Raw genomic sequence first — 21996 nt, forward strand, 5'->3', positions numbered from 1 at the left:
GTGGAGGTTGCAGTGAGCCGAGATGGTGCCACTGCACTCCAGCCTGGAGACAGAGCAAGACTCCATCTTGGAAAAAACAAAACAAAACAATCCTTAACCCAAGAGCTATGGAAATCTGATAAAGTATGTTAAAGCAAAAGAGGATGACATGAACAGATTTACATTTGGAAAGGATCACTCTGCTCTAAAATTATATGACTAGGCCGGGCGCGGTGGCTCATGGCTGTAATCCCAGCACTTTGGGAGGCTGAGGAGGGCAAATCACCAGAGGTCAGGCATTCGAGACCAGCCTGGCCAACAAGAGCGAGACTCAGTCTCAAAAAAAAAAGAAAAAGGAAAAAAAAAATTCTATGACTAAAGATGGAAGGCAAGAAATATATATACAACTGCAATAATCAGCATGATAGAAAAAGCATATACTTCTGGATCATGCTGTGTACTTGCAAAATAAATCCTCTTTTGCTGTAGACATTTCCATACACTTCATACCTGTAGCTTATACATTTCCTTGTTCTTGTTGACCTCCTTTCAAGCAAGTTTGCTTTGGATTTTTTTGAATCTTTTTTCTTTTCTTCTTGATCTTCAGAAAAGTCTGGCTCCTTAAAAAATATGATAATAAGCATAGAGGTTATTCCTTATGCAGAACAAAGTTCCTTGGGATAAACAGTTTTGTAATCTCCATTTAGGTAGCACATGTGAAAGGTCTGAAAAAGTTTGAGATGATCCCCTCCAAAAGTGAATAAACATGGCAACACTGAGTATACAGATTAAAAAGAATGCTGGTGATTAAAGGATGAAATCCTTCTGTATTAAAATTCTGACGCTTTTGTGAGATTATAACCAGTACTTGTTTTAAAACAGTCATGATGAAGTTTTTCCATTGATAAATAATTTAATTTGCAACAGAAGATGTTCAACAGGTATGCTGCATGAATGAAAGATTTAGAAGAAAGGGGTTGCTACTCAAGGAAATAACTTGACAGGCCTTTTAAGCTTGTGATTTAATTAAGCCGGAATGAAATTACTTATACACATTTTTACAAATTGCAAAAATTACAAATTATGTAAATTACAAAACCACATTTTATGCACTTTCACTCATGATATACCCACCTTAGTTATAAATTAGACTAATAAATGCAAAACAAAGGTAATCCTTCAAAAAACCCAAACTGTGTTGAAAAATACAAACTGAAGTTTTCAACAATCCCCAAAATAAAAATTAAAAATCAAATCTCCCCAAACTCTTCTTTAGTCATTTTACATAAACAGCATGCAAAACAAGCTAACAACACATTATAAAGTTCAGTGTAAAAACAGAAAACATACTCCAAAGGTAAAAGCTGTAAGTTTAGTTTAGATGTGATATCACATTTTGGAGTTACCTGCATACATAAAATTTCAATCATGAGGGATTATGGGTGATTTCTCGAAGGTCTTAAATTTCCATTTTTAATACTGGTGTATCATAGATTTAAAACCACTGTCCAGGAGCAGTGGCTCACACCTATAATCCCAGCACTTTGGGAGACCAAGACAGGCAGATCACCTGAGGTCAGGAGTTCGAGACCATCCTGGCCAACATGGTGAAACCCCGTCTGTACTAAAAATACAAAAATTAGCCGGTATGGTGGCGGGCACCTGTAATCCCAGCTACTCAGGAGGCTGAGGCAGGAGAATTGCTTGAACCCAGGAGGCAGACACTGCAGTGAGCAGAGATTGCGCCATTGCACTCCAGTCTGGGCAACAAGAACGAAACTCCATCTCGAAATAAATAAATAAATAAATAAATAAATAAAACCACTAACATTACATAAGGTGGGTAAAATTTTAGAGCAATTATGACAATCTCCCATTTAAAAACATTACAAATCAGAAACTTACTTGTGGAGGAATGATGTTTTCAATACTGATACCAACATACACCAAGCGTTCTTTTCTTTAGGTGAAAAACAAACAAAATACATGAGATTTGCAGAAAATAAAACTGTTATGTAAACATCACGAATACACATAATGTTAAAATTACAATTTCACGTTAACAGCAGAGGGTAAGTCACAGAAATGTTAGCTATTATTTATTTATTTATTTATAGACAAGGTCTCACTCTCTTGCCCAGGGTGGAGTGCAGTGGCGTAATCTTAGCTCACTGCAACCTCTACTTCCCGGGTTCAAGTGATTCTACTGCCTCAGCCTTGCAAGTAGCTGGGATTACAGGTGAGAGCCACCACAACCAGCTAATTTTTGTATTTTTAGTAGAGATGGGGTTTTGCCATGTTGGCCAGGCTGGTCTCAAATTCCTGGCCTCAAGCGATCCACCCACCTTGACCTCTCAAAGTGCTGGGATTATAGGTGTGACCACTGCTCCTGGCCCATGTTAGCTATTAAGTATAAAACTTTAATATAGTATTAGTATGTGTGGGGAGCTCAACATTTCCTAGGGTTAAGATAACAATATCTTTCAGAAATGACTTACATTGGTGAAATAAAACCTATAACTGAAATAAGACAAGCAACTTCATCAAGAGTCATGCTGTGACAAGTTGATAAGATTAGATGGAAAGCCACCTTTGATTAGACAAATTAGATCTTTGTTATGCTGGAGAAAGTTTTTAGTAATATTTTGGGTGTATGTATAAACAATTATAAACTCATGGTAATAAATATTGCTATAAAAATTATGTAAACAAAACCTTATCAAGGTCCCAGTGAATGACACTGAGACCATTCATTCCTTGCTGTTGAAAGAGAAAAAAGCAATGCAGACGTATAGCTCTGTGCTCTAGAAGGCCACAGCTGAAGATAACTAGAGCCAGGAAATACAGACTTGAGCCAATGACATCTCCATAGTTTCATTTCCAAGAAACAAACCTTTGTTGATTTTAATTAAATTACATATTAAAAAAACAGCAGGATGGCTGGGTGTGGTGGCTCATGCCTGTAATCCAAAGCAGGAGGTCCCCCGACGCTGGGAATTCAAGACCAGCTGGGCAACACAGTGAGACGCCTGTTTCTATAAAAATTGAAAAAATAAAAATTGGCCAGGTATGGTGGCACACACCTATTGTCCCAGCTACTCAGAAGGCTGAGATGGGAAGATTACTTGAACTCAGGAGTTGGAGGTTGCAGTGAGCTTTGATCATGCCACTGCACTCCAGCCTGGGCATCAAGAGTGAGACCCTGTCTCAAAAAAAAAAAAAAAAAAAAGCAGGTGTTTTCCCTGGTTCTCTCAAAGTTAATCCAATTCAAGAACAGCTGAGCTCTGACATGCCTCTGTATGTTAAATTGAACTGAACTGAAATAGTAATCATTCTGTCTCTCTCTGCTTGTAATGTTCCTTATATAAGGATATTAATGTATCCAGCTGGCTAGGTCTTTTAGAGTGCAGCCTTTAGTGCCCTGCTAACAAGAATATTCATGGTCTTTTTAGAGATAGGTTGTGATGCTATTAAAACTGGTATGTTTAAAAATCATTCAGTGGACTTCTAAAACATCAGATTTCACAGAGCATCACACCATCAGGTCTGTAGACAGTTGCTGGCTAGCCACTAAATACTCACTGAAATGTATATCCATCCCTCTTTTCCACAAGACTGTAGAGACCTCTATGGTAAAGACCACATTATATACTTCCTCATTTGATTACACTCATTGGCATAAAGTAGGTACCCAATACATGTTGCTTAAATGTTGAATGACTGCATAAACAAGGGTTGCTTAGGGAGTAAACAGGGAGTAAAATGCTCTTGTATTATGACATAGGGAGTAAGTACACCTCTAAGCTGCTAGGATGAATGCTAATAAGTTATTTCACAGATTTTTAAAAAGTGAATATAAGTGCTTACTTTAGAAAACTGAATGACGATGGCTAGAATTTACAGCTAATATTTATTTTAGAAACACATATTTTGCTGTTTAGAGCTCCTAAGATTCATATACATGTGTGTGTATACATGCACACACACACATACTTGTATTCTAGGAACTATATACAACAAAAGCTTTGTTAACCAGATTATTAGGGAGAATCAGCAAACACCAACAACAATCCATTAACTGGCTCTGTGCCAGACTGGTCTTCCTGTAACAGTAACTTTCCTTTCTTTTCTATACACAATCTGAGAACTTAGTGTATGATATAAAGTCATAATTACAGATGTCCTCTTAAAGGATGACATTTAAAGCCAGGTGTGGTAGCTCATGCCTGTAAACCCATAATTTTGGGAGGCCAAGGTTACCCACCTTGGGTAACCTTGGGTAGATCACTTGAGGCTAGGCATTTGAGACCAAGCTGGCCAACATGGCAAAACCCCATCTGTAGTAAAAAATACAAAAATTAGCCGGGTGTGGTGGCGTGTGCCTGTGGTCCAAGCTACTCAGGAGGCTGAGGTGGGAGGATCACTTAAAGATGGGAGGCAGAGGTTGCAGTTATCGTGCCACTGCACTCTAGCCTGGGTGACAAAGCGAGACTCTGTCTCCAAAAAATAAAAAGGATGACATTTAAACAAAGAGGATTACCTAGAGTAGGAGAGAAAGTAAAGGAACTAGTAAATTGGAGACAGTAATATAAACAAATATTGTGGCATACTTTAAAATAAAAATTTCTAAAAATCAAAATATTTCATAATTGCAGTGGCATATCCTATAGCATATGAGGCTGTTGTCAAAATTTTTTCATCAGGCTTTTACACATATAAATGGTATAAGCATCAAAGGGCTCCAAAGAATAAGCAGGTAAGAAATTCTTAGTGGTTTACATTCTTGGCTTTTAGAAAGAATACATTCTCAGCTGGGAGTAGTGGCTCATGACTGTAATCCCAGCACTTTGGTAGGCCAAGGCAGGTGGATCACTTGAGGTCAGGAGTTCAAGACCAGCCTGGCCAACATGGTGAAATCCTCGTCTCTACTAAAAATACAAAAATTAGCTGGGCATTGTGGCGCGTGCCTGTAATCCCAGCTACTCGAGAGGCTGAGGCAGAAGAATCGCTTGAACCCAGGAGGCAGAGGTTGCAGTGAGCTGAGACCCTGCCACTGTACCTGAACTCCAGCCTGGGTGACGGAGCAAGACTCTGTCTCAAAACAAAACAAAACAAAATTCTCTTCCTTAGTGGATGAGCCTATTAGCTATCTACATTTCTGAGACAAATCAGCTTCAGGACATGGGAAAACTGCTAATTTCTGAAAAGGATAAACAGATTTGAGCAAGATGGAGGCAAAGGAAAAATCTAGTTTTTATTCGTGATTTAATTTAAATACCTTTAGTTACATCTTTTGCAGTGTCAAAAATAAAAACAAGAGAAACAGCACATCAAAATAGTCCTAGTAATTTCATACAGGATCATTCTTTATTTTTTAAAATGTTCTTGGAAAATATTCCAAATATCTGAAACACAAGTAGTTTATGGAAATAACCCAAGGTTTAGCTGGGTGTGGTGATGGGCACCTGTAGTCCCTCCTACTTGGGAGGCTGGGGCAGGAGGATCCCTTGAGCCCAGGAGTTCCAAGACCAGCCTGGGCAACATAGTGAGACCCTGTGTTCAAACAAAAGAAAGAAAGAAATAACCTAGCATTTCTCAATTCAAAGTACTTTTATGTCCTAGTCAATTTGAGAGATTAACTTGCCTTTAAACTAAGCAGCATCCATTACGAGCCAGAGTGCTCAAACTGGGTAGTAAAAAAAACAAAACCTTTAGGTTCTGGAGGCTGAATCCATTTTTAAGGTTCACCTTTGCACAAGGTAAAGTGAGAGGATTATGGGACAAGCTGATTGCCTTAAGGCAAGCTAAATTTGGAGGGCGAGACTATGAGTCAGGGGATATAAGGTAAAGAAGTAGCAAATGAAGGTAAAATCAGGAGATAATGCTTAGATTTCCTCAATCATACTAGTGTATAAACGGGCATCAAGTCCTATGACAGATTAATCCTCTGAAAATTCTCCCCAACACCTCCACCTTATTATCACAATGCCTGCCCTAATTCAGGCCTTACAGACTCTCAGGTTTGCTATTCCAACAGTCCCAACTCTATTTCATTCTTCTGTTACCAGAGCATTTTTTTCTGAAATAAAGATATACTTACATATGTCTCCTTTGATGGCCGCCCCACTTTCTATAGAGAATAAGTCAAATTCCCCAACCTGGAAAGCTATTCACAATTTGGCCTTACTCAGCTTTTACAAAAATCTATCTCCTACCATACCTCTACTGTCACTTTTACACTTTGCCTTTGCTCATGTTTGTGCTCTTTGTCTGAAATATGTTCATCGGTATAATCTCAATTTATCTTACAAGGCCTCTCTTGAGAACCCCAAATCCTATGAGAACTAAAATGCTCCTCCACCATGTTCCTGTATTGCTTTTAATATATCTCCACTTTTCCATTTTATCATATCATTGGTTCTGTACTATATTATTGGTCTGTACTATATTATTGGTTCATATGTCTGTATTCTCTAATAGAAGGTGAGTTCCATGTAAACAAGAGCTTTGTTTTTGATCTTTCCTCTTCAGTTTGGTATACAGTAGGTGAAAATGAATGATCAGAAATAGATTAATTAAAGAAGGTACAAATAAATATGAACTGTTGTCCTGATTATGAATCCCCTTTTAAAGAGGAGGCTCAAGTTCAGTCTTAAGAACTTCATCTAAGAACCCTTCTCCAGGCTGGGCACAGTGGCTCACGCCTGTAATCCCAGCTCTTTGGAAGGCCGAGGCGGGTGAATCACAAGGTCAGCAGTTCGAGACTAGCCTGGCCAGTATGGTGAAATCCCTTCTCTACTAAAAATACAAAAATTAGCCAGGCGTGGTGGCGGGTGCCTGTAGTCCCAGCTACTCAGGAGGCTGAGGCAAAAAAATCACTTGAACCTGGGAGATGGAGGTTGCCATGAGCCGAGACTGTGCCACTGCACTCCAGTCTGGGCAACAGAGCGAGACTCCATCTCAAAAAAAAAAAAAAAAAAACAAAAAACCTTCTCCAACTGCTTAAGACCACCACTGCAATGCTATATTGAAAAGAGGGGCATCTCTTACAGTCAGTAGGACACAATTCAGCATTTAATACTCTTTATTTCACCAATGTTAGCTGCCCACCCAAGGAGATGACAAGGATAACTGAATTACAGACCAGTTCTTATAGTTTTTTTGTATTCTCTACAATACTTAGTTATGGACATACCCTCCACAATATTTGGGCCAATATTTATTCAGAGAAGGTTCTGACAAATACTTTATTTATTCATTTATTTATTTATTTTGAGACAGAGTCTCACTCTTGCCCAGGCTGCAGTGCAGTGGCGTGATCTTGGCTCACTGCAACGATTCTCCTGCCTCAGCCTCCGAGTAGTTGGGACTACAGGTGTGCGACACCATGCCCAGCTGATTTTTGTATTTTTAGTAGGGACAGGGTTTCACCATGTTGGCCAGGCTGACCTCAGGTGATCTGCCTGCCTCGGCCTCTCAAAGTGCTGGGATTACAGGCGGGAGCCACCATGCCCAGCTACTTCTGATAAATACTTCAGATAGAAAGTTGGCAAACATTTCCTATAAAAGGAAAGATAATAAGCATGCAATCTTGGCAGGTCATAAGGTCTCTGTTCCAACTACTCAATGCTGCTGTCACAGGGCAAAAGTAGCCACAGACAATATACAAACAAATGAGCAAGGTTGCGTTCAATAAAACTTTATTCACAGACAATAAAATTTGAGTATCATATAATTTTCATGTGTCATGAAATATGATTCTAGTTTTTCCCCCCAATCATTTAAAAACATAAAAAACATTCTTAGTTAGCAGGCAGTACAAAAACAAAAAGGAGGCTGGATTTGGCCCACAGGCCACAGTATGCCAATCCTTGTTTTAGATGGATCCATTTATCCATACAGTGAGACAATTCTGCTCTCATATTCCCAAACAAAACATTAACACACATATAAAAATACCTTCGTTCGGCACGCTCTTTCTTCTTTAAGGCAACATCCAAATCCTGCAACTGTTCCTCTAATTTTTCACAGAGCAGTTTCTGAAGAAGCAAAATAGATAAAAGTCATTTTAAACAACTTTTAGCAATCATTTATTACATACATGTTAACTTCATGGGTAGTGGGCTCTGAGAGCTGGTAAGGGACCACATAGTAAGTGAACAATGAAGCTTTTCTTGTGTTTAATTAAACACACCTTTTGAACAGAAGATGAGCACAGTACCTTTGAAATAAAGCACACGTTAAAGAAACATACAGCTTTGCCAAAAGAAACGGATTCTGTGCCTATCCTACTGGCAATAGTCAATGTTTAAAACAGCATTTGGTTCAACATGTGTATGTAACAGTGATTATACTTTTTAAAAAAGATCCCAAGATGTTTTAAAGGGAGAAGGTTATACGTACGATATAACATAATGATGCCAAAAACTATTTTTTAAAAAAGGTGACTGGGCTGGTGTGAGTGCTGTGGTATTTACAACTAATTGATCCCAACCAGTTACAGATTTTTTTGTTCTTTCTCCACTCCCAGGGCTTCACTTGACTATCCTTAAAAAAAAAGACTGTAAAAAAGTATACAAACAATGCTACACAGTTACTGAGTCAAAACAGAGCTGAAAAATGTACTTGATAATAAAGCTGTGCTAAGCCACAGAAGTCCATTTCACTGAAGAATGCATAAAGCTCATCATTTTATTTTATTTTATTTTTTGAGACAGATCTCACTCTGTCACCCAGGCTGGCGTGCAGTGGCACAATCTTGGCTTACCGCAACCTCTGTCTCCCAGGTTCAAGCGATTCTGGTGCCTCAGTTTTCTAAGTAGCAGGGATTACAGGCGTGTGCCACCATGCCTGTCTAATTTTTGTACTTTTAGTAGAGATGGGATATCGTCATGTTGGTCAGACTGGTCTTGAATTCCTGGCCTCAAGTGATCTGCCTGCCTTGGCCTCCCAAAGTGCTGGGATTATAGGCATAAGCCACCACGCTTGGCCAAACTTTCATCATTTAAAAAAAATAATTATTACTACTTTTAAATTTTTTTTTTTTTTTTTTTTTTTTTTTTTGAGACGGAGTCTCGCTCTGTTGCCCAGGCTGGAGTGCAGTGGCGGGATCTCGGCTCACTGCAAGCTCCGCCTCCTGGGTTCACGCCATTCTCCTGCCTCAGCCTCCCAAGTAGCTGGGACTACAGGCGCCCGCCACTACGCCCGGCTAATTTTTTGTATTTTTAGTAGAGACGGGGTTTCACCGTTTTAGCCAGGATGGTCTCGATCTCCTGACCTCGTGATCCGCCCGCCTCGGCCTCCCAAAGTGCTGGGATTACAGGCGTGAGCCACCGCGCCCGGCCACTACTTTTAAATTTTTTAGAGATGGGGTCTTGCTATGCTGCCCAGGGTGGTCTCAAACTCATGGCCTTTAGTGATCCTCCTGCCTCAGCCTCCCAAGGAGCTGGGACTATACCTATGTGCCACCATGCCTGGCGGTGTTTTTTTTTTTTTTTGAGACAGAGTCTTGCTCTGTTGCCAGGCTGGAGTACAATGGCGTGATCTTGGCTCACTGCAACCTCTGTCTCCCGGGTTCAATCGATTCTCCTGCCTCAGCCTCCCGAGTAGCTTGGACTAAAGGCGTGTGCCACCACGCCCAGATAATTTTTGTATTTTTAGTAGAGACAGAGTTTCACCATGTTGGCCAGGATGGTCTCGATCTCTTGACCTTGTAATATGCCCATCTCGGCCTCCCAAAGTGCTGGGATTACAGGTGTGAGCCACTGTGTCTGGCCTAATCTATCATTTTTAAGGCAAATGAAAGTAGGTTTGTGAGAGAAATGTAACCAATGAGCACAGCAGCACAGAAATAACCTGATTCTTCAGTTTCTAAAAGAAATTTGCCTAAGATAGAAGAGAAAGAGAATCTATGTTTCTCCTAACCCTGATAACACCATCTACAAAACTACTGACAAATACAAAGTAGGTAGAAACCAAAAAAGAGGATGAAACAAAGTGATACATAGGAAGAAACATATATCCTTCCTTCTACATATCTACACTTGGTGCTTTTTGTGCTTTTAACAAATACAAGAAAAAAATCATTCATAATTTTACAAAACTTAGAGGGCTTTTGATAACTGCTTTGGGAAAAAAAACAAAAAGGAAAACCTAAAAGCTATTAATAAAAGGTAGAAATCTAAACAGAGGTAAATACTATTTACACATTGCTTTGAAGGTTAAAAATATTCATTCAGTAGCTATTAAACAGTTATTAATTTGAATACAAACTCAAAGACTAGAAAAACAAGTGGGCGGGGTCTTACATGTTGGCAAGGTGGGCAGAACCATTCTCCATCTGGGATGATCATCAGAGGAGGGCGAAGGCAGGCAGTATGGTATCCACTATCGCAAGAGTCACACAGAAGAATCTGAAATAACCACACTGATGTCAACCTAACTATGACTAAAATTCAATGACTCTTAGGTTAAAGACGTTTCAATATCTCTGAGTACTATACTGCAAAGCACTCTATTTGCATAAAGCTAGTAAATAAAAAAGCTCTGATGATTAGGGATCTGACATTTATTTATTTATTTATTTATTTATTTATTTATTTATTTGACAGAGTCTCGCTCTGTTGCCCAGGCAGGAGTGCAGTGGCACAATTTTGGTTCACTGCAACCTCCGTCTCCCGGGTTCAAGTCATTCTCCTGCCTCAGCCTCCTGAGTAGCTGGGACTACAGGTGCCTGCCACCACACCCAGCTAATTTTTGTATTTTTAGTAGAGACGGGGTTTCACCATGTTGGTCAGGATGGTCTTGATCTCCTGACCTTGTGACCCACCCACCTCGGCCTCCCAAAGTGCTGGGATTACAAGCGTGAGCCACCGCGCCCAGCCCATGCTAATTTTTAAAAAAACCTAAAAAAAAGTTAAGCTATAAAATTTAGTTAAAAATAACAAGGCCTTTCTGACCTAGAGTTAGAATCCTTTTTCATTCAGTATATAGTCATAAAGGCTATAACAACATATTCCTTATAACAAAGTTTTAAAGCTCAAGTATCAAAGACTACCCTACCACACAGAATTTTTAAAACACAAAAAATTTCCATTTTAAATAGCATTTCAATTACTTACCTGTAAGAAACACTCATGGTTCTTTTTATCATGTAAATTCAAATAAGGAAGAGACTGAGGTATAGAAAAGGAATACAACTACATTCAGAACCGTCATCATGTAATACAAAGGTTCGTAACATCACTTAGTCTTATAGTTGTTTTATCGGTATTTGAGTTTAAGAGGACCAAGGTCTAAAACTAAACACAGTATACTCAAAAATGTTTAATTTAAAAGAAAACTTTTTACTTTTAAATAATTTTAGATTTACAGAAGAGTTTCAAGATGGTACAAAGTTCTCTTATATCCTTCACCCAATTTTTAACACCATTACCTCATATAACTATGGTACATTTATCAAAACTAAGAAATTAACATCAATACTATGAACTAAACAACAGGCTATTCAGATTTCACAAGTTTTTCCACTGATGTCCTTTTGTTGATTTTGAATCTTGCAGGTCCCTTTACATTCAGTTATGTTTTGTTAGTATCCCCAGTACGTAACCGTTTCTTGGTCCTTCTTTGTCTTCCCTGACCGACAGTTTGAAGAGTACTATATTAGTCAGATATTTTTGGTAGACTGTCCTGAAATTTGAGTTTGTTTGATGTTTACTCATGATTAGACTGGGGTTCTGGGTTTTGGAGAAGAGCCTACAGAGGGGAAATGCCCTGCTCACTGCATTGTATCAGGGGATACATGTTATCAATGACTTACTACTGCTGTTATTAACTTTGGTCACTTGGTTAAAGTACATCTGTTGGTTTTATCCACTCTAAGGTCACCTTCCGTACTCTATTCTCAAGATAAATGCAACCCACACTCAAGGGTAAGGGAATTAAGTTTTCTAGAAGTATGAGTATCAAATAATTTGTGGATATATATTAAAATCTCAATAGTAATAAATCAATAAATACCTTGGGGGAGATGCACTGAAGCTATGCCAATATCTTCTCTCTCCTTAAAGTTCTGCTCACTAGTTTTAGCATTTGCCGGGGATTCTGCTTGCAACGATTGTTACTGTGGTGTTCTGATGGTGATTTTCTATCTCCCTTATGCCTTCTACATATGTTATTAGGAATTATTCTGTAAGGAAAATAAGTCTCTTCTTCCCCACATTTGTTTATTCAATTATTTATATCAATATGAATTAATGATTATTTTATTCTTTGGGCTACAATCCAAAGCTATCATTATTTAATTTGTTGTTGGAACTGTTCCAGCCATGGACACAATGGAAGCTCTTTCAGGTTGTCTCCTGTGTCCTTAGGACTTGCCTGCATTTTTTTTTTAAGTACTTCCTTACTTTCTGGCACAACAGGATGTTTCAGGAACATCTTGTATTTTCCCTGCCCAAGCCTTAGAACCAACCATTTCTTCAAGAAGCCCTAGCTCCTTTACTGGATAATGGTACTTAGAAACCAAGATCTGGATGCTCTGAAAGCTCACTGCTACTGGCAACTACTTTTAATCTCTCTCAGAGGACAGCGCTAAGATATATATGTATGGATATGTATACACATATATCTTTCTGTGCCTATATTAAAATAAACATGGAGTTCATGCTAGTATCTCCAGTTCTAATCTACCATCATAGGGTTCATCATGGCTCCTATTATTTACACTTTATTTATTTGCTCAACCCTAGTATAGATGAAGTTTCTGCAATCCTAACCTGTACCATGGGGGTGGGAGGAGGCACACCATTACAATGCATCACCACTTGCTCGCAATACCCAGGGTTTGGTACTTACTTACATTAGTATTATACTTCCGGTATACAGTTGATTACATTGGCACATGTGGACTAACCTGGCCACCTAATCAATTTATCACATAGTTTCTATAAAACATAACCTAAATTTCAAATATCAAAATTACAGGTAAACTTTCAGAATTTATTTCTAAAGGGAAGATTGCTTCTACTCTGCAGTAAAGGCAAAGTCTCACTAAATAAATATTACCATGTAAGATTTCCAAGCCTCAGGTGATAATCCATTTATTTTGACTAAAACATCTGGAAAATCCCTTAGAGTTCTATATTCATTTATACATTTATTGCTTTTCTGCTGTTAAAGCTCAATTAAGACAAGGACCATGCCTTTCTAGCTCAGCAGCATATTCTTATGATTTAACATATAATAGCTGCTTGGTATTCTGACTTGAGGATTATCCTTAAGCACTTGGCATAAGAATCTACCATATTTGGGATCTTCAGTTTCCAATGTCATTCACAATATAATTTCTGCTCACCCCATTTTACCATTTTATTTCTCATTTCTTCACATCAGTTCATTACAGCAGCCATTGCTGCCTTAGGTAAAATGCCCTCTTTTAGTTTAAAGGGACATTAGAAAATGGTAAGGAGAGAACACAAGTGATGCTTTTTTTTCTTGATTTAGAAGGCAGAAAAGACTACTATCTCAAATGTCCTCTTGGCCTTTATCTGTATAAAAATATTGACTTAACTTGCATAGCCTTGATGATCATAAAATACTTAGAGGGATCTTCTCAGCATAATTTCAACATCTATTCTTCTCAGAGCTCAAGTCATTCTCTGGTTCTATCTTTTACTTGAGCCTTTAAAAACTACTGGGTTATGATAAATTTCACTGATAATACATTTAGCTTCCAGATATGATATTAACAGTAAGAAAGAAAAGAGTAAGTAAACCAGAATTAACTTTAACCCAGCACATAATATAGATCAGAAACTGTGCTAGGCAACTTTACATGAGCTGTTAAAAACACCCCTCAGAAGTATGTGGCGTGAGTCCCACCTTACAATAAAGAAATCAAAATACAGAGAAGATAGCTCCTGATAAGTAGTATCCTGATAAGTAGGATCTGAATTCATGCTGTCTGGCCCTATGCTTTTCCCATCACATCATAATGCTTTGCAGGAAAAAAGAGGCTGGAGAACCACTTCTTAGGAATTTTCCAAACTTTAGAGGATCTCAAATGTTTCTGGTCCACACAATTCTACTCAGGTAGAAACATCTTTCTTTACATTTTCTTCTACTTAATAGCTGGAGTTTGCCTTTAAAGTGAAATCTATTCAAAAGAACAGCACAGGTGCATAGAATTAGGTATAACAAGGCTACTTCCTCAACAGACTCACTTATGAACTGCAAATTATATATATATATAAATATATTATATAAAATATATTTATATATAATATATAATATATATAAATATATTATATAAAATATATTTATATATAATATATAATATATATATTATATATATAATAGATTAGATATTGATTCTCCTGATTCAGGCAACCTTTGAAGAACTTACTTCCTGGGGAAGAAAGCTCTCTATAAAAGTGGTACTATTCTTTTTGGAATATATCTGGTCTACAATTTATTCTCCTATAAATTAAAAAAAATTTTTTATGTTAAAAAAATTGTAGTCGGTATATAGCAGGTGTATATATTTATAGGGTACATGTGATGTTTTAATAAAGGCATCTAATGTGTAATAATCACATGGGGTAACTAGGGTATCCATCACCTCAAGCATTTACCATTTGTTTTAGAAACATTCCAATGCCACTCTTTTGCCATTAAAAAAAATTTAAAGCCCTACTACATTATTACTTGACTTACATGTTTTTATAGGAAGGCAGTAAGGCCTTCAGGCCTAATTTACTTAAAGCTGGCACTTCAAAAATATCATTATAAAGTTACCTATTTATCTTACCTATTTATCTATCCAGCCATCCATGAGACAGGGTCTTGCTATGCTGCCCAGGCTGCATTTGAATTACTGGGCTCAAATCCTCCTACCTCAGCCACCTGAGTAGCTGGAACTACTGGCATGTGGCCACCATGCCAGGCAGAAATGCCATTATTAAGTAATTTAAAGGGAAAGAAGAAAAACTTAAAAAGAACAGACTAAAAATACTTGAATACATTCCTCAATCTGTGAGAAGAGATTGAGGTGTATTATTATGTAGAGGAAATATCAATATACAAGCCAAGTAGAATGAAAGTAGGATCTTGATCACTGGCCTTCCTACAATTAGGTTATATGAGAAACAGAAATAAAGGTTACTCTGTAGCATACAAGTTATCATTAAGAAATTCAAATAATGATAAAACCCAGAAGAGTTAGGCTGCTCCAGGCAACCTCACCATGTCTGTAATATGAGTATTCTTCATTTACATCAGGTACATACTAGCTCAGGATGGTTTGGAAGGCCACATTTTTTGCATGGTTCATCATCATCTGCTAGGATGGCTTCTTCACTTTCCTTTTCTTCCTCCTCTTCTGAAGCTGCAGATGATTTTTCACTGCCAGACCCTTCACTTTCATCATTGCTGGAATATTTCCATCTGCCACGTGTCCGAGAACCAGTCCATCGAACTTTGCCTTTGGGTTTTACCTTGTATAAAATAAAAAAAATTGGGATAATTTGATATAAGAATGTCTTTTAAAAATCTCCTGATTACATGTCCATTGTATAATAATATTCAGCCAATATACCAAAAAAAGAGGAGAAAATTATTATAGTCTCATCATCAGATATAGCTATGGTTAAATTTTGGTATATATTTCCACTATTTTTTCTACATTTTTGTTTACTTTTTTCTTAAAACCGAATTATAATGAACATTTGGTCTTATATTTTTCCTAGTCACATTCTCCTAACATTACTATAAATGCCATTACATAACTGTTTTTATCTAATCCTCTACTAGACATTTAGGTAGTTGTTTCCCATGTTTTTCACTTTCGTCAACAATGTACTGTATCTTTACAAATATTTTTACACACATCTCTGTGGTTAGGATAAATTCCTTGAAGAGGATTCTGGGTCAAAGGTCATGCACATTTTAAATGCTTTGTAAGAGAATGATGACTATATTCTCACATATTTTCATGTAAAAATTTAAAATCCTGTATTAGAGATAAATTTTAAATTTTAAATAAGCCAGAACTGCATATAAAAATCCTGACAAATGTAAAAATATATACATTCAGAGAGCAAATTTATAATGTGACTAACAGCTTTTTATTGCGTAGTTTTATACTCTTTTAACTTGTGTTTTAGTTTATTCCTACACTATAGGTCGTCAGCAAAGAACAAAATAAGTCTAACAACAAAAGAAGAAAACATTAAAAATTCAGTATCTCAGGGAACACAGGATCACTTACAATGAAGAATGATCTGATCGTTTAAATACATTAAAAAGAAAAGTAGCACTTTTGATTATGATAAATTCCCATAGACTAGCAAAAGACTTGTAAAATATTTTGCTTAAAATAACAGGGTCATAGTTATGATGAGTAATACCAACATTAATGAGTAAAATGGGGAAAACAGGCACTGTCATACACTGGTAATAAGATGCTATATTAATGGAGCCTTTTTGGAGGGCAATGTGGAAGTAGCTATCAAAACTTAAAATATACATGTCCCTTGACCCAGCAATTCCAATTCTAGGAGTCTATTCTAAAGAAATACTCACTCATGTCCAAAAGGATCTTCAATGCAGCATTGCCTGTAATAGTGAAAAATTGGAAACAACCTAAATGTCAATCAGTAAGTGAGTGGTTAAATAAACTGAGGTATATCCACACTATGGAGTACTGTGTGGCCATTAACAAGCAAAAGGGATACTATATCTACGGACATGAAGAGTTCAGAGACACTTTAAGTGAAAAACTCACAGAAAAATGAACATATTTGATCCAATTTCTTTTTTAAATAAGTAAATATTTATGAACATCCACATAAATGCATGAAAAAGGACTGGAGGGCCAGGCACGGTGGCTCACGCCTGTAATCCCAGCACTTTGGGAGGCCGAGGTGGACGGATCACCAGGTCAAGAGATCGAGATCATCCTGGCCAACATGGCGAAAACCCACCTCTATTAAAAATACAAAAATTAGCTGGGTGTGGTGGCACGCTCCTGTAGTCCCAGCTACTTGGGAGACTGAGGCAAGAGAATCGCTTGAACCAGGGAGGCAGAGGTTGCAGTGAGCCGAGATAGTGCCATTGCACTCCAGCCTGGCGACAGAGCAAGACTGTCTCACAAAAAAAAAAAAAAAAAAAAAAAAAAAAGACTGCAAAGATACTATACCCCACACTGTTAATAGTGGCAATTATCCCCAAACTGTTAATAGTGGCAATGGGGAATTCTCATTCTATAATTCTACAGGTTGGATATTATTTGAATAGTTTACAAGGAGAATATATTCCTATACTACTTTTAATTTCTTAAAAAAGTTAAAAGATGACAAGAGTATAGAGTATAAGTAAGAGTATAAAGTCTGAAAAGGTATCTCAGACAGAGGAAGAAAGATACTTTGTCAGTTGTCTTTGATGACTAAGTTTTAGACAAAACCAAAAAACCTATTAATATATAGAGACAAATATTTTTAATTAAAGTTAAGACAAGTTTTACCTTGCTTACTTTAGAATTTGTATCTTTCTCTGATTTTTTCAAAATTTCCTTTTTGTCAGTTTTTTGCAAAGCTGTTGACTCTTCTTCCACCTCATCTTCTCCTTCCCCTCTTTTTTTATCAGCTTTCTGATCTCTGATCTCAGCCACTTTTGCAGTGGGTCTAGATATTCTTGGAGATCTTCTTAAAGTACGACCCACATTTGTTTTCTCCTCTTCCTTTTCTGTCTTCTCTTGCTTGTTTTCTGGTTCTAGAACTTTGGGGGGAGAATCGGGCTTCTTTTTCCGACTTGATATCCTGATTGTTAATTTGATGCCCTCTTTCTGCCTTTCAGAGGTTATCTCTGTATTTTCTGAGGCAGTGGTTTCTTCTTCAGGAACCAACTTATATTTGAATTTGCTTTTTTGCATAGAACCCTTTGTCTCAGAAGGCTCCTCTATGCCAGAGGTCTGGGCATTGTCCAGATTATCCATTTCTACCTTTGTGAACTCAGAATCCTCTTTTAGGGTTTCTAGGTCTACTTTTTTCACAGACTGGCCACCAACAGTACTTGTACTCTGGCATTCTACCACTTCTTTTTCTGAGGCTAGTTTCTCACAGTGGTCAATGATATTAGATGGTGGAGAAGTTTCAGCTGCCTCAGGAGAGCCAGGCTTTTCTGACTCTAGAGTACTCTTTGGAACTTCTTCTGGTATTGGACTCAATCTTTGTGCGTCCTTATCAAGAAAAGTCTTTTTGGACTTCTCTAACTTTTCAAGACATTCTAGGATTGGTGGGCGCTTATCCTTCTTAGTTTTGGGAGACTTCTCTTCACCTTTCATGGTACACGACTCGGTGGAAGATAAAGCAGTTTTTGAAGAGAGATCTTTTGCCATCTCAGAAGAATCAAGAGAAGTTTCCATTTCTGGAGGATCGGGTTCCTCTATTTGTGCTTTTTGACTATGGATCTCTAAGACTGATATTGAACTATCTGCATCTTTCCTCAAAGGGGCTGTTTCTTTCTCAAGCTCACCTGTTTTCATACTTGTTATGACAGAATTTAAGGACTCTGTTCCATTTCCCTCCGTGATGATATTTCTGTCCTTAGAGGGGCTATAGCTCTCTTCCTTTGTCTCATAAAACTTTGTCTCTATTGGTTCTGTCTTAAAATTTGGAGCTACCCTTTCATCACTAACTTCTCCATTTACCAGCTGTTTCCCTTCATGACCCAAAGCAGTGATTGTAGAGATCCTTTTACAAGTCTCTTCCTCTTGTTTTATTTCATCTTTCAAAAACTCTTTTGTTGGAGTAACTGATTTACACAAAGGTCCCTTGACTGGACTGTCAAAATCATCACTCAGTTTAATTTCTCGTTTTTTTAGTGGTATCTTGGCCTGCTGGTCATTTTTAAGTTTCTCAGTTTCTTCAGTAGATTTCTCAGTAATTTCGTGAGAAGATTTAATATTGCCACCAAATTCGATCCTTTCAGGCTCCTGTGCCACTGGCTTCTCCATGCTACTTTTGGTATCTTTAGGATCTGCTCTACATTCCTTCACCTCAACTTTAATGGGTTTGACATTTTCCTTGAAGGAATCACTTTCTTCTTTGATAATCTTTTTTTCTTCATTTTCTGGCAAAGGTTTTTCTAGCTTCACTATGACTGGCAGTTTCACAAGTTCCTTTTCATCTTCTTTTTCTTTTTTCACAGTAGTCTCTTCTAGAACATTGGCTGTAGAACGGTTTTCTAAATCCATAGGCTGCTCCTCACTTTTCATCTTTTCACTTTCTTTCTGTTCCTCTAAAAATCAGAAAAAGCTTAATTACATGAATAGAAACTTTCAAGGCTATAAAATATAAGACTTAGTATAATGTATATTTCCATTTAAAGTTTCTATTTTAAAAGAGGTGGCCTCTGTCATTGGATATTTGACAGTAAAAAATAAAATCTGACAATGAAGAAAATTACAAAAACTTTGAGATACAACTTCTAGATATTAAAAAAAATTTAGAAAAATTTAGGTTTCTGCTTTTTACTTTTTGTTTTGGTGTTCTCAATGGATTGCAAATATTTATGCAGTTCAAATAATTTATTCAAATTCAAGAGATGGCTTAAAAACATAAAATTGAAAATGCTACCTAAAACATTTCCAGAAGACTATATTTGTTTTAAAAACTGACAACTGTTAAAAGAACTGAGCACTTCATTTCACTGAGGTACCAGGAACACGGCAGTGGGAAAATGAAAAATATAGAAAGACAAAAAGCCCATATCCTATTACCCAGAGGCAATCACTAGTAATATTTTAGGTTACTTCCTTCTGGTCTTGTATATTTTTCACTAAGTTGGTATCATGTTGCCTCAATTTATTCATTGAAACATTGGCACTTTCTTATGATACTTTTATAAAATGATGCCTTTTATAAAAATTGAGTTTAATAATTATATAACATTCCTCAATGTGATCATATTACAACTTACTTTATCAAATGCCACCACTGAACATTTCAGAAGTTAGTACTATACAAAGAAACTGTTTAGATTTATCTGTCAATTCTTCTTTATACCTTATTGGCTATATATTTTCAACTTTTAAGGAGCACCTAATACTAGTGCAGATTTAAACACAACCAAAGCTATATTCAGTAAATAGCATAATCTCTGAATAGGATTATACAGACTGCATTCCAGAATTCATTGACTACTAATTTTACGTACATTTTTAATCCCTTCACCTTATCCTTGCTACTGAAAAACCTAATTCTAAACAAAGTTTTACTGAGACATAAATTTTTTTCCTAAAATTTTGAAATGATTCTCGTCAAGTTGATAAACCAGTTAGGATATACTTCATGGGAATAATGGGATGGAAAAAAGTGAGAAGATAAAGCAGGATATGTTTTTTGAAATGAAAATTTAACCACCATTTCTTTTATGTACAATGATGTTGCAAATAAAAAAGCCAAGAACCATTTAGAACCATTCAGTGTCTGAGAGTTAAGCAACTGTAATCAGTATTTCTTCCTTCTTTACAAAGTCAGTGCCATAGGGAATGCTGCTAAAATATTTCAAGAGATGAGAGTAAAAAAAAATTTCAAAAATTCAAAATATAAAAGTCCTACAGCATAAATAAGGTAAGAAAAAAACAGAGATGACAGTAATTACCTAAGTTGCATGTTTTCTCTTTCCCACTGATAAAACAGGTTTAATAAATTCTCATTTATTGAGATTAGCTAGTATATCAGGAAATTTAACTAAATGAACACCTTGTTTAACGGTTAAAATACTGATTACTATCTTTAAAAATAACTTCAACTGCCACGTGCAATGGCTCACGCCTTTAATCCCAGCACTTTGGGAGGCCAAGTTGGGTGGATCGCTTGAGCTCAGGAGTTTGAGACCAGCCTGGACAGCATGGTGAAACTCTGTCTCTACAAAAAATACAAAAAGTAGCCGGGGCATGGTGGTGTGTGCTTGTAGTTCCAGCTACTGGGTAGGCTGAGGTGGAAGGATCACTGGAGCCCAGGAGTTCAAGGTTAACCCTGATCCCTGATCATGCCACCACATTCCAGCCTGGATACATTCCAGCCTGGGTGACAGAGTGAGATCCTGTCTCAAAAAATAGAAACAAACAAACAAAACAAAAAAACCTTCAACCCAATACTAAGTGTGGCTAAACACAAGTTAATATTTTTTATCCCTATTCTATGGTTCAGAAAGTATCTAAAGATTTCATCATGACCCTGATCCAACGTAAAATTAAGTTTCTCAGTTTCTTCAGATTTCTCCATGTTTTCATTCGAAGGTAACTGATCTTGGTTTGAGTAACAACATAGCAAAATAAAACAAGAAATGACATTAGGTTCAAGATTCCCAGGTTCACTAACACTAATTTAGCTAGTGATGCATCTTTGGGTGTGTCACAAACTCACTGATCTTTCTTCATCTATAAATAAAGCAGCTGGACTAAATAACCTCAACTATTATTCTTCGCTGGTGTCATATTTCTTTTATTCTAAAAATGTTAAATTCTTTGGTTTTTTGTGTGTTTGCCTTGGTTTTTTTTTTTTTTTTGAGACGAAGTTTCGCTCTTGTTGCCCAGGCTGGAGTGCAATGGCATGATCTCAGCTCACCACAACCTCCGTCTCCTGGGTTCAAGCGATTCTCTTGCCTCAGCCTCCCAGTAGCTGGGATTACAGGCATGCACCACTACGCCCGGCTAATTTTGTATATTTAGTAGAGGCGGGGTTTCTCCATGTTGGTCAGGCGGGTCTCGAACTCCTGACTGCAGGTGATCCGCCCACCTTGGCCTCCCAAAATGCTGGGATTACAGGTGTGAGCCACCATGCCTGGCCGGCTTGGTTCTTTTAAGAGAAAAAAATGACAACAATTAATATTCTAGCTCCTCTAAATTAAATAAATATGTTTCCAAAATAGTGTAGAGGAAGGAAGAACTAGGACAGAATATGAACCTTTAAGCACTATAATAATTAGTAAAAAGGTCAGTTACACAAGCATTTT

At 37.2% G+C, this 21996-nt stretch overlaps 1 protein-coding gene across 3 annotated transcripts in view; it reads right to left on the reverse strand.

Annotated features, from left to right (window-relative positions):
* RSF1 (remodeling and spacing factor 1) overlaps positions 1-21996 on the reverse strand; it is a 212224-nt gene that overhangs the window by 23212 nt on the left and 167016 nt on the right. For 2 of the 3 annotated variants that reach the window (XM_017017923.2, NM_016578.4), the window contains exons 6-11: positions 17501-19275; positions 15267-15473; positions 10287-10391; positions 7939-8018; positions 1885-1939; positions 490-599 (exon numbers count right to left, since the gene is read on the reverse strand). In XM_017017923.2, coding sequence (XP_016873412.1) covers positions 490-599; positions 1885-1939; positions 7939-8018; positions 10287-10391; positions 15267-15473; positions 17501-19275 — 2332 coding nt within the window. The remainder of the gene's footprint in view (positions 1-489; positions 600-1884; positions 1940-7938; positions 8019-10286; positions 10392-15266; positions 15474-17500; positions 19276-21996) is intronic. The other variant, XM_005274051.3, reaches the window with a different exon arrangement.

Source organism: Homo sapiens, chromosome 11 (assembly GCF_000001405.40).
Source record: "Homo sapiens chromosome 11, GRCh38.p14 Primary Assembly".
Lineage (NCBI taxonomy): Eukaryota > Metazoa > Chordata > Mammalia > Primates > Hominidae > Homo > Homo sapiens.